Raw genomic sequence first — 17436 nt, forward strand, 5'->3', positions numbered from 1 at the left:
GTAAACTATCATAGTTTGGTGGGAGTGTAGCAGTGATGCCAACCAGAGGTCACTTTCCTTGCCATCTTGGTTTTGGTGGGTTTTGGCTGGCTTCTTTACTGCAACCTGTTTTATTAGCAAGGGCTTTGTGACCTCTATCTTGTGCTGACCTCCCATCTCATCCTGTGACTTAGAATGCCTTACCCATCTGGGAACAGGTCTCAGCCTTATTTTATCCAGCCCCTATTCAGAATGAAGTTGCTCTGGTTTAAATGCCTCAGACAGAGTCATGACAGCCTTATGTATTTCTCTGGCCAGTGGTTCCAGGATGGGGTAAGGTATGCCGCAAGCTTGGCAGATCTTTGGAAAACTTGTTCAAATGAGCTGTTGGTATAGAGAGTGTTGTGGCAGTCACAAAACACTGTCTTCATCTTATGAAGTCATATTCAAAAAATTAAAGTTTATTTTCCCAAACAAGGTAATGTTTCCATTTAACTATACCAATCGACTTCTGTATTAGGTAGGAACCGTTGTTTGCAAATATTAGAGACTAGACAGATGTGTGTTAAGAAAAGGTAGAGATAAATGTATCAGCTTGCCAGGTTTCTCACAGAATCCAAGGACCAACATCCAGTTTCTCAGGAAACACTAGAGGCAAGGTCTGGGCTTGACTCCATCTCCTCTTTTTGCTCCCCAGTTCACGCAGCGGAGCAAACCCAGGTCTTTGTGGTACACACCAAGCCCTTGTGCTCCACCCTCGGACTTGTGTGCCATTCCACAGGCCCCTCTTCCTTCAGAGCAGCATTCCCCAACCCCTTTTCCAGGACAGCCTGGCTTCCCACCCACTGTCTATCAATCAATCACCTCACTTTTCCTTTCATTGCACTTAAACCAGTGGGAAACTGATGAGTTTACTTGTTATCTATCCCCCATACTTGAATGTAAGCTTCATGAGAAGCTTATTCATGTCTCTCTTGCCATCATCTAGAGAGACAAATGCTTCCCACATGGTAGGGTCTGAATAAATATTGACTGAATTAATATATAAATACAGGTTCAGCTGTGAGGGACCCAACAATCAACTTTCCTCTCAGGTAGAAATCCCCTATGATTAGGGGTAGCCGGGCAGGTACAGGAGACTATTATGAGTGAGGAGATACTCCCCAAAATGTCCACTACGACTTGGCTAGGTAGGACAGACAAGAATTTCCTTCCCTACCCATCAGTGAATGTTTGATAATTTGAGTTTATAAAATAAACTGGCAATAGACCAGTTAACAGGAAAGAAGGTATACATATTTATTAACACATGTATGGACATGGGAGTTAGTTATACACGAAGAGTGAGACTCAGAAGAGGGGCTAAGATGACTGAAGTTTTTATATTATCCTGGGGGGACAGGAAGAATATGGACTTTGAACATGTCGGGGGGGGCGTTATAGGAGGGAGAGAGGAGGAAAGGCCTGGGAGTGAAGGGGTCCTGTTAGGCAGATGAAACCTCTCAGGTAGCAGCTCTCAGAAGGAACAGACAGGAGCTTGTGGTAAACGCTTCTCTGTCAGAACCTTATATTGTCAGACTTCAGCCTCCTTTTCCTGTGAGTTAATCTTTCCTAGATCCAGATAAGAGGTCCTCAGAGAAAGTCTGTTTGCATCTGTTGTTTACTTCATTTTACTAATGTGGATTTCCTCTCCAGATGCAAATCTCCCGAACAAAAGGGCAGCTTTTCAAGGCTAGTTTTGTGATCTGCAGCCCCTCAGAACAGGCATCTCAAAATATGCCAAAGGAGTTGAGATATTCTGGTTTCTTTCAGCTAGGTTAGCCAACTTCTAGTATTTTCCCAACTAAACAAGGAGTTACGTATTACACAGTGGCCTTGCCTTTGAGCTGCTTAATCCTAATCCCTTCACCAATCCAGTGATTTCACCAGCTCAAAGAGCTAATTGTGGCATTCACAGAGGATCCTGGTATGAGTCCCAATTGTGTCAACTAAATGCTCTAGTTTCCTATTCACTCCAGCATACGTGAAAGGAATTGCAAATTATAAGCTTGGGATTCATATTTATAATTGACCTTCATTATTCACAAATTCCATACTTGTGAATTTGCCTGTTTCTAAACTTTATTTGTAACCCAGAATCCACATTCACTGTGTTTACACATTTATTTATGGACATGTGTAGAGCAGTAAGAAATTGGAGTCATCCAACATACACACTCCCAGCTGAGGTGGAACCAGGTGATGTTCTGCCACTTTGTTTCAGCTCTTCTTGTAAACAAGCATCTTTCTTCATGGTCTATTGATTGCCACATTTTTTGCACTTTTGTCCTTTGATTTTGCTGTTTAAAATGGCCCCCAACTATAGTCCTGAAGTGCTGTCTAGTGTTTTTAAGCACAAGAAGGCTGACATGTGCCTTATAGAGAAAAATATGTGTTAGATAAGCTTCATCAAACATGAGGTACAGTCCTGTTGGCTATGAGATCAATATTAATAAATCAATACTATTTATTAAATAAGGTATCTTTAAACAGAAACACACATAAAACAAAGTTATGTATTGATCAGTTGACAAAAATGTCATGACCAGAGGCTCACAGAAACCTAAGCCTATGTTTCCCCTAGGAGCAGTGGCTCAAAGGAAAAAGGACTTAGTACCCGTGATTCCAGCATTCGAAGTGCCTTGATAAAACATAACTGTTGTGATTAATGAGAATTGATCGGACGTGTTAATCCAGTGAAATTTAGTTCAAGGGATTTTCATACCTGTTTTTATTTGCTACATCATGTAGATCTCAGTTGAAGCATATCTTTTTCTCAAAACAAGCCATTCAGAACACAAATCTTTTATTTTTTTTAATATGCATCCTTTCAGAGAATCATTCTGTTTTTCTTTACCACTTGTCTACATTGATCCCAGGCCATTGGTGTCAGGTTTGTGAGAATTGTATAAATATATCCATAAATATCGGGAGTGCAAGCACTGTTCTACCGTTGACTGGAGAAACAGAGATTGTATTTCTTTAGTTCACTGTTGACAGGCTCAGGAAAGGGCTCATTGAGCCATAGAAGTTGACATTTGGCACAATTCATTCCACCTCCAGAGTAGCGAAGCTTCAGGAAACCATCTTCCATTCTTTCTAATGTTTCTGGTCAGTCATCATATGGCTTGCCACTTGTCTTGGTCCTGAAATTAATTAAGAAATAATAACGGAAAGGGGAAAGTAGGAAATAGGTAAGATGAATAATGATTAAATTCAATGCAATTATTATGAATTGACTCTAGAGTAAATGGAAAGGACAGGAGATGATAGCCTTTAAGACTGGTGGAAACTCATCAGCAAAGGGTAATTTGGTTGCTGAAGTCAGACTTCAAACTCAGTGAGGATTATGCAGGGCACAACTGAAAAGAAAGGTGGACTTGTTACACTTGCACAATTAGGGCTTGCAAATGGTCTTTTTCGGTCAGCTTTGGCTTGCTCATTATGTTGGCTTTCCCCCATCCTGAGTGACTAATCCATGCCGCCATTTCATCATCATCAATCTTTCCTTCATTCATTGTGCATTTACTTGGAGCTGCTATGAGTTTCTAGACAAGATGAGACTGAGAGATGCTATATTGTGTAAAGTTTAACTGTTTGGACTGTAATTCAAGAGTGCCTGGATTTGAATTGCAGCTTGCCACTTATTAACTATGTCATTTCAGTCTGGTTAATTAACCTGCCTGGGCCTCAATTTCCACAACTGTGAAGTACAGATAAACACCAGGCCCCATAAGGCTGTTATGAGGATTAAAAGAGATCATCCTCATATTGATGCTCTGTGCAGTGCCTGGCATAGAGCAAGTACTTTTCTGAGAAACAGAAGAGTGACCACTGTGCCAAGGTGTTCTTAGAAAGGAAGAGTGGTGCAAGACAAGGTAAGCAGGTCAGAATCCTGCGGGGCCTCACAGGGAGCCAAGGCAAAGATGTTTAAACAAATTCTTAAATGTCTTTGCATGGTTTGAAGCAGGGCACTGACAGCATTGTTTGCAAGAAAAGAACGTGTATTGCCGAAACTATATTTAGTATAAATGATTTTTTTAACTAGAAAAATTTGCAAGACAGCCTTACTACTCCACTTTTGTTCAGCCTGATCAGCCTCTGAGCTACCCCACAGTGCTCCTAAATACCCTGACATAAAATTCTGCTAGGATGCACTAACTTTGATGTTGATGATAAAAGCACTGGTGAAAGAAGCATTAAGATCTGATATCCATGATGTGCTTACCCTTGTCAGTTTAACAGGCATTATTTTACTCAAACCTCACCACTTCCTGCCACTGTCTTATTATCCCATTTTATGGATGAGGAACTGAGGCTAGAAATCTCACAGTTAGGAAGCACCTGGATTTCCACTGCACATTTTCTGCTCCAGGGCTCACTGGTTTCTCACTGATTTCCAGAGGGGACTTGAATGTGATGGAGACACAGCCCTGTGGTCAGACAAGCTGTCTTAGCTCTGCCTCTTGCCTCTGTGCCCTCAGTTTTCCTATTTGAAAAATGTGCGTAATACCACCTACTTCAGAGTGGTTGTGAGGAATCACTGTATACAAAGCAGTCAGCATAGTGCTAGGCATATAGTAACCACTTCTTAAATGTTCTACTATGGTCATTATTTTGCTGCATTGCCAGTTCACTATGGTGTTTTCCGGATCTAATGCACAGAAGGATTAGAATGCTTTGTTTCCTTAAAAGGCTTCTCCTTCCCATTAACCAGCTCCCTTGTCTCTGAGACAGCGTGTCATGCATGATAGAAACACAGCCCATCCCCTGTAAAGGACTGCTATGTCATTTACACATCTGTTCCTCCTCCCTCGATAGGGGTGGAACAGAGAAGCTCTTTAGGCACACATTCAGGAAGCTAAGCCCCAATTCTTTCTAAACTAGTTTTCTCCATATTATGCTTTTTAATTAAACCTTTCAAGGTTTAATTAGGAAACAACATGAGTCATCTTTGTTTCTGAAAATGTATTTGTGGTTTGGCTAATTATGTAGTGAGATTTAATATGATTTCTCCTCATGTGTGAAATTAATACATTGAATATTTTTAAAAGGAAAACATCTAAAGCATTTACCTGGGCACCAGATGGTGAGCAAATAATCAGTTCAAAGGAATTCCTCTTAAAGTAATGCTAAGAAAAGCTGTGCTGGCTTTAACTGGGTCACTTTACATAGGATGCCTCAAAGAGAGAGAAACACTGTCTCTTAACCAATACATCCATTCCTGCAGCCTTTAGTGTCACTCCATTGCTTGGAGATAAGATCTAGCTTTCTTTACAAGGTGCTTCACTCTAATACTGACTCCCACCCAACTCGTGAATGCTCTTCTCCAACTACATCCTACACTGTCATTCTTCAAAACCATGACGCTCCCTCATGCCTTGGTGGTCTTGTACATGGTGTGGTTCTCCCTGCAGTGCCTTGTCTCATTGTTTTTGGATAAACTTATCTGCATTTGAGTTAACAATATCTTTATTTTCTGTATTCTGATGCTTTGACATCATGGGGGAATTGCTGACGCTGGAGGAACTGCCTCTTGCAGGGTTGGTGAATTCCTAGACACAGCAAACAGCTGCCTACCTGCAAACCTCCTTATTTCATATGCAAACCATCTAATCTAGGGAACATATCCAACCACCTCCATGATCAGGCTCTCACTTTCTGGACCACTGTCTCCCTCCCCTAATCACTCCAGGGTCAGGTGCCAGACAACTGGGGACAGCCCCTCCACCCAACACCACTGAAAAATTCCTCAAACTAGCCCATCCTAAGCTTGCTATGTCTTTGCTTGGTCTCTCCATGGAACCCACAATAGAGGCTCCTGCCCACATTTTCCCTTCACTCCCTGTGCCTCCTGACCAACCCCCAAGGCTTTCCTATGTGACCCCTCTTGAGTGGCATGATATGCCTCTGCCTCTAGGGATCTGTAGGCATAAGGTTCTTCCATCCTGACAGTACTTTCTATGTCTGCTTGTTTTAACTGTAACCAAGATTTGTCATAATTGGTTATAGTAAAACATCTTTCCAAGTGCAGCTCAAAAGCTACTTTCTCTGTGTTGGCCTCTCCATTTCTCTTCCAAAGATGCTTACTGTTCACAAGCTGCATTGTAATACAAACATGTCTGTCTTCCTCATTAGGCTAAGCTTTCCTAAATTCCATGCCATGTTCTTCTCTGAATTCCCAACCTTTAGCATGAGGCCTGACATAAGTACTATGCAGTACACATGAGGAGTACGTGAATGAAATGAAAATAATACACCCTTTCAAGCTGAATCCATTAGTAGCAGATGAGTCAGAAAATAGTAGGGTATGAATGTTTCCCTAATTCTCCCAATATGAATGGGCACTGTAACTTGTTGGTTCAAAGTACAAGTCCCTCAATTTCAACTATGCCATGTCCCAAGTATGTGGCTTTGGAAAAGGTGTTTCTTCTCAATGTGCTTTGGTTTTTTTATCTTAAATATAGGGATAATAGGCCAGGCTCAGTGGCTCACACCTGTAATCCCAGTACTTTGGGAGGCCGAGGTGGGTGGATCACTGGAGCCCAGGAGTTTGAGACCAGCCTGGGCAACATAGCAAGACCCAGTCTCATAAAAAGAAAAAAATATAAATTATTTTATATAGGGATAATAGTAGTATCTATCTCCAAGTGCTTTAAAGATGAAATGGGCATGGTGGCTCACATCTATAATACCAGCACTTTGGGAGGTTGAGGCAGGAGGATCGCTTGAAGCCATGAGTTCAAGACCAGCCTGGCAACAAAGTGAGACCCTATTTCTACCAAAAAAAAAAAAAAAATGAAAGAAAAAAATTAGCCAGGTATGTTGGTACATGCCTGTAGTCCCAGCTACGTATTATATTATATATATATAAAGATGAAAAGAAATAAGGCCACAGGTCTTTTGACAAACTCTTTGCTCTACCTGTAATACTCTTTTCTTCTCCTCCTCTACTGCCTAACCCCTCCTTACCCTTGATGTCACAGCCCCAGGGCCACTTTATTAGAGAAACCTTCTCTTATGTTTATGTATACAAATATGCACACACACATACAGAGAGAGAGAAGTGGAAGGTGGGGAAAATAGAAAAAGATTTATTTTAAGGAATTGGGTCACACACTTGTAGAGGCTTGGCACACAAAATTTTCAGGGTAGGCCAGCAGGTGGAGACCCAAGAAAAGGTTGCAGTTTTTTTGCCAAAAGACTGCCTTTTGATACAACTGTTGTTCTTCCAGGGAAGTCAGTCTTGTTCTATTGAGACTTTCAACTGATTGGATGAGGCCCACCCACATTCTGGAGCCTAATCTGCTTTACTCGAAGTCCACTGATATAAATGTTAATCTCATCATATATTATAGATATATATATGATGTATATATACACACACACACACAGAGAAACATCTAGAATAATGTTTGACCAAATATCTGGACACCGTGTCCTAGCCAAGTTTACACATATAATTAACCATTAGAGATTGTAACCTGAATGAGGGCAAGATTCAGTTTAATATGCCTAACTGCTGTATCTAGCACATTAATAATTATTTTTCGAGTGGACATACAGTACTGCAGAGTACATACCTAAATGCATAGTCTGTGGTGGATGGTGTTGCACTATACAATAGAAACTTAGGAAACAGCCAGGACCCAGCAATTTAAACGGCTGTCATATGATGAAAGGAAAGTTCCCAGAACATCCACTAGTGAAGGTCTGTAAGAGGGGTGATAGGTAGAGGGAACCAACAAGATGACCCTTTAGCCTAGGCCCTAAGCACAGAGGGTGACGGCAGTCAAAGAAACTTTTTTTTTTTTTTTTGGCTATCTGTCAGTTTTTGTTTCCAAACCCCAATGTAGACTTTAATAAGCAGAGCTGGATCACACTTGGGTCACAAGGATTACACAGTTCTCCTTAATCTCCTTTTACCAAAGACTGACCCAGAGAGAAACACTCTCTAACAGAGGCCCACCTCAAATGCCTTACTGCTCCTTCCAGGTACTTAGCTCCTACCCTGGTAGTCCCAGAAGCTCTACCCCTGCCTTCTCTGCAGGAGGGAATGAGGACTGGCAGAACTTTCAGATGCCACAAGGAGCCAAAAGAGACCACGTTTGTGTACATCACTTTTTATCTAAGTGTTTCAATGAACAGTCACCGAGCATCAATTCAACAAATGGATATTGAGCACCAATTATGGGGAAAGGAGATGCAACAGGCCATATAACTAATAAGCAAAGGTCAGGCAGGAATAAATATTAGGGAGAAAAAAGAAAGTAGGACCAGTAGGAAGGTGAGCATCTGGGGAGGATTCTGTTATAAATGGGTGGTCAGGAACGACCTTTCTAATCAGCTGACATTTAAGCATACACCTGAAGGGACTGAGCCAAGTATATATTTGGGGAAATGTGTTTGTGCAAAGGTCCTGAGGATGTATCATGCTTTGTTCGGGGAAGAGCACAGTAACTGATGTATCTAGAACAGGGTGAAAAAGGGGAAGAATATTCAGACAGGAGGATGGAGAAGCAGCACGGAGCCAGATGCAATGAAGCATTCTGGATGATGTAAAGACTGGACCTCTCTCCCTGTCTGAGGTGGCTACCACCTGTGGGTTTTGAGCAAAGGCCTGAAATCAGGGTCATGAAGAATCAATGGGTGCCCAGCAGAGGGCCTGTACTCTGAAACAAAAGGCAATCTCCCAAAGAAATCTTTATTTTCTAATTCACTCAAAGTTACCTTTTGCTCATAAAGTTTGCTTTCTAAGGATTACTACTTTGGTCCAGATGTGCCACCTTTATTACATTCTGGCTTCTGTGAGGAGAAATGACTGTGGGGGCAGGGAGGAAAGCCAGGAGATCAGTTAAAGAGGCTTTTGCAAAACCCAGGGAAGATAGGATGGTGCCTTGGACTAGGATGGCAGCAGTAGACATTTCGAAAAGTGCTTAGATTTTGAATATATATTGAATGCAGAGATAATGGGATTTCCTGGCATGTTAGTGTGTGGATGTGAGAGAAAAGGATCAGTGATAGCCTCAATGATTGTAGCCTGAGCAACTGGAAAATGAGGCTGCACACAGCGGAAACGGGGAAGGCTCTGGTGGGGCCTAGGCCTGGAGAGTTGGGGAGGGGAAGAAATCAGAAGTTTAGTGTACATGTGTTAAGTTTGAGATGTTTTAAGTTGGATATACAAGTATGGAGTTCAAGGCAGAAGATGTCAGTATAGGAGTAATCTGTGTAGAGATGGTAACCAGGCCAGGATACTGGTTAAGATCACCTAGGAGGTAAGTATTGATTAAGGTCAGGAAGATGAGGAGGAACCAGTATATAAGTCTAATAAAGAACTGCCAGTGAGATAAGAGGATAATTGAAAGAGATGTTCCAGAAGGCCAGTGTTGATAGTTTCAAGAAGGAAGGAACAATGAATGGTGTCACATGCTGCTGGAAGATTGACTAATGAAACTGGCACTGGACCGTTCAGTTTTTTCTCATCATGGAAATGGAGAGAGCTAAAATCACCAAATATTTAAAGGAGTTTTGATATCAAAGGGAGAGAAATTAGGCAGTAGTTGAAGGGGAATTTGGGATCAATGGATCTAATGGAGCACATCTGCATGCAGATTAGAGTGAAGCAAGAGAGAAAGAAAAATTGATGATACAGAAGAGAGGCTAGCAAGATGGTATGCTCAAGTGGGGAAGAGAAGACCCAGAGTGTGAGCAAGGGCTGAACCCTAGCAGCATGGAGAGTCCATGTAGAGCAACAGGGTGGGAGACAAGGTGAGGACTGATGCAGAGTGAGTGGGTGTTGGGAATATATGGAAGTCCTCTTCTGATGGTTGTCTTTTTCTTAGTGAAATAGGAAGCAAGGTCATTAGAAAAGAAAAGGAAGACTGTCACATCTATATCACCTTCTCTTTTGATTCCAGTGTCTCCCAATTGGAATCCCAAAGAACCAGAGCAATTGATTACAAAAGTACTTGGCAACTGAAAAGCATGATCAGTCGCAGAAATAATGATTATTTCTTGAATGACTGTGATCTCTATAAGCCTTGAGTGCCCTATAGTTTATTCCTAGAGCGAAATCATATTTCACTGGCGAAGTAATTTAGGAAGGAACGCCATTCTGCTGACTAACTCAGAAGCCCACAGTGTAGTCGATTCTCCTTTTGCCTCCCCCTTGTCTCTTTTTTATTAAGTAGATCAAATTAGCCTCTCCTCTCAAATTGCATCTCCCAATACTGAAAGCTCTAAAGAAAAACAACACACAAACAGAGTAGCAAAGACAAATTCTGCAAATGAAGGGAACAGAACAGAGAAGATAATCTGAGCAGGCAAGACCAAGTTTGATTCTTGGCAGACATAGGAGGAAAGAAAGCTGTGAATACTCACACATTAATGATTTTTATATTGTCACAACTACAATCAAAGCCCTGATGACAGTGTTGTCATAAAGTCTATACAGCCACTACTCTTGGCTTGGGTTTACTGTGTATCCTGGGCTACAGGTTCAGAATTCACCATGATAAATTATTCCAAGACTGTTCAAGCTCCCCTTATCACACTGTGTTTTAGTATCTCTTCCCAAGCCTAAAATACAATGTGTACTTTTACACCAAATATAGAATCTCAGAGAAAGAAGCTTGGAGTTTATCTTATCCAATGCTTCTTCCAGTTCCAGAATTATTCTTATACATTCCCTGGCAGCCAGCCATTTGTACTTTATAAACAGCCTCAGTTATAGGTCGACCATTCCACTTATGGGATGTTTTGTATTATAACAAGCTGAAATCTCTCCCTTCTACTTCTAACTTTTGAATCTTTGACTACTCTCTGGGGCCACACAAGACAACACACATCCTATCACCTTTTTGTGGGGACCCAGCCACCATCTTTCCTCCATCTTGCCCAATAAAGGTGCAATCACTTTCTGAATCACAAATATGTCTTCATTTAGGGTAAAAGCTTTTTGTATAATCTTTGCTTGCTAGTAAATTAGACATTTAAAAAACGAATATGCCTACTGGAAGTGAAGTTCTGAGTAGTCCTTTGCCTAGAGAGGGTTAAAAGCTTCTGTAATGCCAGCACTACCAAATTTAACGGAAAGGACAGAACTGGATGAAATTATATTTTAAATGATATATCTGCCAGGATTACTACAAGGAATGAAAGGGAAGGAGCACCAAGTTATCTGAGATTGAAAGGTAAAATGAGGGAGAGTTGCTCACCCTGCATCCCACTGAACTGTCACCTCCATCCTGCTCCTGAACATCTTTCCTCTGTCACACATTCATTCAGTGGCTGCAGGCTCCAATCTTTGAGCTAGGTGCCAGAGTTTCAACGGTGAGCATTCTTTCACTTACTCATTCAACACCTATTTATTATAGACTTAAACGTTGCCAGCATCATCCTACCAATGGGATTAGCAGTGAACAAAACAATAGGAAAAAACATTCCTCTCTTTGTGCAGTTAATATTCTAGTGAGGAGAATAAATGAATCCAGCAATACCGTAAATATATGCAAAATTGCAGCAGTTAACCATGCTATGAAGGGAAGATTCAGGATGCTACAAAAGCATGTAATAGAAGGAACCTGAGCTAGTTCAAATGAGGAGGAAAGCCTCCCCTGAGGGGGTGATGCTTGACTTGCGCTCTTGAGGATGAGCAGGAGAAGGACTGGCACGGGAGTGGCATGTATGAGAGGTGAAAGGAAGGCATGATCAAGGTTAGAGATCAGAGGTAAGGAAAATCCAGACAACGCAGGGCTTGTGGGCCATGTTAAGTTTTTTCACTTGTTAGCTGATGAGCAGTGAGAGTCCACTGAAGTGTTTTAAGCCAAGTGTGTGTGTGTGTGTGTGTGTGTGTGTATGCATGCATGCATAATATGAGCAAATTTGTATTTATAAGAGATCACTCTTTCTGCAATGTACAGAATGGATGGGAAGGGAGCACGGTGAAAATAGAGTTAGGAAATTATTCTCATGTTCCAGAGGAGAGATGGCAGTGACTTGGATCAAGGTGATGACAGTGGGTGTAAAAACACAGTGACAGATTAACAAGAGTTTGAGGAGGTAAACCCAAATTGTGATGATTTGAATCTGGGAGGCAAGGGAGAGCACGAAGACTGTAGAAATCTCTGGCCAGGCCTGTCATGTGCACAGTTCAGTTATCTGGCATGGAAGATAATGCACTGCACCAGGGTAGGCACTGGACATTGTTGGTTTAATATGATGTTCACATAGGACACCTAGTTACTGTTATGTAACCAATGGAGCAAGATGTAACTGTGGCATAAGAAAATATAACTAGATACCCGGGCGTGGTGGCTCACGCCTGTAATCCCAGCACTTTGGGAGGCCGAGGCAGGCAGATCACGAGGTCAGGAGATAGAGACCATCCTGGCTAACACGGTGAAACCCCGCCTCTATTAAAAATACAAAAAAACATTAGCTAGGCATGGTGGCGGGCACCTGCAGTCCCAGCTACTCAGGAGGCTGAAGCAGGAGAATGGGGTGAACCCAGGAGGTGGAGCTTGCAGTGAGCCAAGATCTCGCCTCTGCACTCCAGCCTGGGTGACAGAGCGAGACTCCATCTCCAAAAAAAAAAAAGAAAGAAAATATAACTAGATATTATTCTAGTGGTTCAGCTTTCTAAAGACTTATTATGGTGGTTGTTTACAAGTATGTGAGTTAATTGTGCTAGAGTTTCAGAATGATATGTTTAAGGGGTATAAATATCTATAAGCCCCCAGTTAGGTCTTCCTGCAAACTGGCAAGACTACACACTGAAGAGACAGAATCCCATAGCCATCAATCCATGCCAATCTGGAGAGACTTGAGAAATTTCTCCTCTTATATATCCTCCAGCTTGAGATCTCTTACTTTGCTAAGAATGTGTTTGTTTTTTTGTACTTATGGCAGTAAAATATAATGTAAGATGATTGAAATTCCAGCATGCTCATTTTTCTGAGGTTTCACATAGTGCTCTGTTGGACTTCCACAGCATCAGAAATGGAATCCTAGGTAGTGACTAAGGGTGGCGATGCCACTCACTGGGAAAGGAAGTTCTGTAAGAGGGTCAGACTTGGGGAGGAAATGCCCCAGTTAATTTGGGGCATATTGAGTTTGGGTGTCTAAGATGAAACACAGTCATGGAGACGTTGATCAACAATATGAGTCTGGAGTTCCAAGGAGTTGTCTAGAATGATGGCTCTAAGAATGACTTACACTGTCTCAGGGGAGAACCATGCTTGATCAAGAAGCGTTGCATATCAGAAATGCTGTAGAGAGCCATTTCTGCAAGGAAGGTTGGGCCAGGGCCTCCTTACTCTGAGGTTCTATGATTTATTAATAGATATTATTAAAACCACTTGAGCATCTGAGTAAAGCTGTGTTAGCCCTGGATGAACTGGTTAGAAAGAAACAAGACTACTTCAGCCAGCTTATGGAAATGTATGAGGAGGAAACAGGAATGTGAGATGGAGTCCAGAGCCAGCTGGGTCTGATGGGTTCCATAAATAAGAACTGGACTCCATCTGTAAGACAGATGATCCCTTTCTCTGGAGGGAAAGGTCCTTGCTTTTGCTGGTGATAAAACAAAATAGCCACCCCAACCCTAGCCAGAGTGGCCAACAGAGATTGGCCAATTCCACACTCTTGCCCCAGGTAAAATATCCTGCCAGCCCATTTCCAAGTATCTCAGTCCAGGGAGTCTGCCCACTGCCTGCTCAGCAGGGGTTATGGGAACAGAGTTTCTCAGAAAGGGCATTGGCAGGCTTGATAAATTGACTAACGTGTCTGCACACAATATAATGAATGATCTTCCCATCTTTGAAGAAAAAAACAAACTTTCTGCTTTCCAATCAACAACTCTTAATTATCTTTATGGTTATTAATTCGTACATCCATATTTCTCCTTGATAGTTTATTACTCTTATGCTTTCTGTCAACTATTTTCTATCTGTCACTTTCCAGTACTGGATATTAACGTTTCCTTTCTCAAATTCTAGTCATCTCCAAAGCATTTTGCACTTCTCAATTGTATTTATGTCACTGTTTGATCTTGTTTTGTGTCTAAGTAAGTGGTTATCTTCTTGTAATCCATCTTGAAGATGGCCGTACTGAAACATTCTGAAATTCCTGAAATATTTTAGAACTATTTGCATCTTGTTTTCTTTTCAGAGACCTTGCCTATTACAATAATTATGAGGAGGGTCAGCCTCAGACCCTAAATAAAACTGCCCCCTAAGAATGTTTGTCTCTCCTGAAAATAGCACGGGCATCTGGACATGTCCAAAACCTAACCCCTTAGCTTCTTCCCTGTTCCTTGTGCTGTGTTGTCAGACTTAAGATATAAATCTGGTTGTCATCCCTCTGCGCATTAACCTCTATCCTACATAATTACTTTCTAACTTGTGTACCACACTCTGCAATCTTCTCTATCCTGAAGCCAGATGGTCTCTCTAAACACAGTTTTACCATGCCTACCATGAAATTCACTGTTTAACTGCCTTTAAAGGAAAGACCCCATACTCCTTTCTTCAGCCAACAAGGTTCTAATGGCCTATTCACCCCTCTCCAACTCCCTGGGCTTTAACAAACTCTTTATGCTCCTTCAGCCTGACGAAGTCTTTTTTCCATCTCCTGTTTCTTTCTCCTTAAGGTCCCCTCCTCAAGCATGGGTTAGCCGCGCCAGGCCCAGCTCAGATTCTCCATCTCATTCTAATTCTCTTACAATAACTGCTTTTTGTTATATTTCAATGGTCAGGTTTGTCTTCCACAGGAGAGGAAGTGTAATCAGTGCTGATGTTAGGGCCAGAATGGTTGGGTTCAAAACCAAGTTTTGCTGCTACATATCTGTATGATTGTGGTCAAGTTACTTAACCTCTCTGTGCCTCAGTTTTCTGGATGCAAAACAGGGATAGTAATAGAATCTGTTAAACAGTACATTGTCCTATTCTCTACATTTAGTACTATGGTAACACATAACCAAGCCTCAAATATCTATAGGATAGTGTTCAAAATGAAGGTAATGTTTATTCAGGACCATTGCAATAGGTTCAGGGACCACTGCACCTGCGGTTTTGCAGCCAGGGAGAGAAATTGGGCTCAACTCTAAACACTGCAAGTTGGGAATGTACAGCCAAGTAGCAGGGTGAGGGTCAATGGATAGAAAATAACTAAGAGGAAGCATCAGGGGTGAGGGAGATCCTGACTCAACTGACCCAACAGGATTCTTGCAGAGAAAGACCAGGTGATCAGACCCAGGGGGATGGTGGAGGATGAGGAACTCAAACTGATAACAAGGGTAGCAGGGGGAGTTATTTCTAAAGCTGGATTTTACAAGGAGTGGGGAAAAGAGGCATAAGGAGAAAGTTCAGAAGCCCAACTAAAATTTGGTCAAGCAAAGAATCTTTGTCAATGGACAGCCAGTGTTCAATATTTGATTGGAGATAGACCAAGTACTACCTTCTGGTCAATTGTTAAAAACATATAGAACTGAAGAATACCTAGGTTCTTAAAATGATTCAAAATATTAGCAAAAACTCAGCAGAAGTTGGCAAAAATAATGTTAGAATAGCAGTGTTTCCAAGTATATGCTAGAAACTAAATTCTTAAGCACTCTGGAAATAATACAAAACTGTGAAGTTAGATCTGGGTTTTTTTCTGTCTATCTTGGTTTCTTCATAAATGAGAATAATAATGCCAATATTACATGAGTCATGAACTAAATAAGATTATATGCATAAATTACCTATCATAGGACTTAATAGAGAAGGTAATTAATACACTGGGTTTCCCTTGATAAATCACCTTCCATCTTTCATACAAATTTATTTTCAATGTAAAGTACAAAAGGCAGTTGGAAGAGATAAGAACAGGTAAAACTTTCCTGTTTACCCTGTGAATGTTAAATAGTTCAATCCATAAACAATACAACAGCTAACATTTTGAAATAGCAAAGTGTGCTGGACACTGTTCTAAGTATCTTACATTAAATACCTCAATTATCCTCCCCACAATCCTGTGAGGTCACTACTAGTGTTATCCTCTTGTAACAGTTGGGTAAACTGAAGCTTGGAGAAGTTTTCAAAGAAGACCAAAAGATAATCAGAAACAGAGAAGAATAACTTCGTGACAAATCTCAGAGTCCATTCTGAAACCCATGGTAGCATTGAACAGGGAAGGAAGCAATCTCAAAATGATAGATTTTCCTTTGCTCAGAAACTGGAATTCTCATAGTAATGGTACCTTCTTCCTCTCTCTCCTCCCATGTTCAGAAAAAAGTTACTGCATGAGGTAGAGCAACCTGGCCAACATGGCAAAATCCCGTCTCTACCAAATTTCCAAAACTAGCCGAGTGTGGTGGCAATGCCTGTAATCCCAGCTACCTGAGAGGCTGAGGCAGGAGAATTACTTGAACCCAGGAGGTGGAGGTTGCAGTGAGCCGAGTTTGCGCCACTGCACTCCAGCCTGGGTGACAGAGCGAGACTCTGTCAAAAAAAAAAAAAAAAAAAAAAAAAAAAGGTAGAGTCACTGCACATGCTTAGAACTGATAGAAGCTTGATTCTTTTTTATCAGCAGTGCCCCCCCACCACCACCCCAAGATAAGACTTTTTAAAATAGTGGCTAACATTTTTCTGTCATAATTATTTATTTCTTAGCCAAAAGATAAGCCAACAGTTGCTTAGAGTAGCATTTTTTTCAACTTCACCGTGCACAATGGTCTGTGTGACTTTTTCCCTCACTACCCCAGGATTCAAACACATTCATAAACATGCTCCAAAATCACCTGAGTTGCAAAAACATCACTTGTATAAAAGAGTTGCACCATAACTGATGATTGATGTTGTCTAACCCAGAGAACTATATTGCAATGAAGTTGAGGATTAATCGTTAAATGTGATAATAATCCTCTATCTTTGTTTACATCTGTAATTAATGCAGTTCAGGAAGAAGCCCTTGAAACCTTATGTAAACAAGGTCTATCCTTACTGGAATAGATTACAGCCATATGTCACCGTTCAAAAGGTAATTGGTACATTTCATTAGAAAGTAATTGAAAAAAATTATTTTAATGCCTCATAATAAATAATCCTGATAAACATTATTAGCAGAGATATCTGTACCATGTAGAGAATTTGCTTTGCATCAAAAGATGGCATATGCTATATATCATTCTTGGATTTTTCTGAGGAGCTTTTACTTGCCTTGTGATTGAATAAAGACTAGTACACAATTACATGCGAAGCTTTCCTTTGAGAACAAGTCCTTCTTATAGCCACATGCCTTTACCATCCCCCTGACTGGCATTGACAGTAAGGCCTTAGTTTACTCTCTATCTCTCCGGTGAAAATCTCCCACGTGTATTAACAGAAATACTTCTAACAGTGGCTTAACGCAAAGGCCTCAGAGGCAGTGAGACTAGGC

At 41.2% G+C, this 17436-nt stretch overlaps 1 protein-coding gene and 1 long non-coding RNA gene across 13 annotated transcripts in view; one reads left to right on the top strand and one right to left on the bottom strand.

The window, feature by feature from the left end:
• SGCD (sarcoglycan delta) overlaps window positions 1-17436 on the top strand; it is a 1039957-nt gene that overhangs the window by 984173 nt on the left and 38348 nt on the right. The gene's annotated exons all lie outside the window — the stretch shown is intronic.
• The window catches only part of LOC105377673 (uncharacterized), a 45769-nt gene that overhangs the window by 7807 nt on the left and 20526 nt on the right, over window positions 1-17436 (bottom strand). For 2 of the 4 annotated variants that reach the window (XR_007059012.1, XR_007059013.1), the window contains one exon: window positions 2721-3164. The exons of 1 other annotated variant lie outside the window; for it this stretch is intronic. This is a non-coding gene — a long non-coding RNA (uncharacterized LOC105377673). Of the gene's footprint in view, window positions 1-2720; window positions 3165-17436 lie in introns of those variants that run through there. One more of the 4 variants, XR_007059014.1, reaches the window with a different exon arrangement.

This window comes from Homo sapiens, chromosome 5 (genome assembly GCF_000001405.40).
Source record: "Homo sapiens chromosome 5, GRCh38.p14 Primary Assembly".
Taxonomy (NCBI): domain Eukaryota; kingdom Metazoa; phylum Chordata; class Mammalia; order Primates; family Hominidae; genus Homo; species Homo sapiens.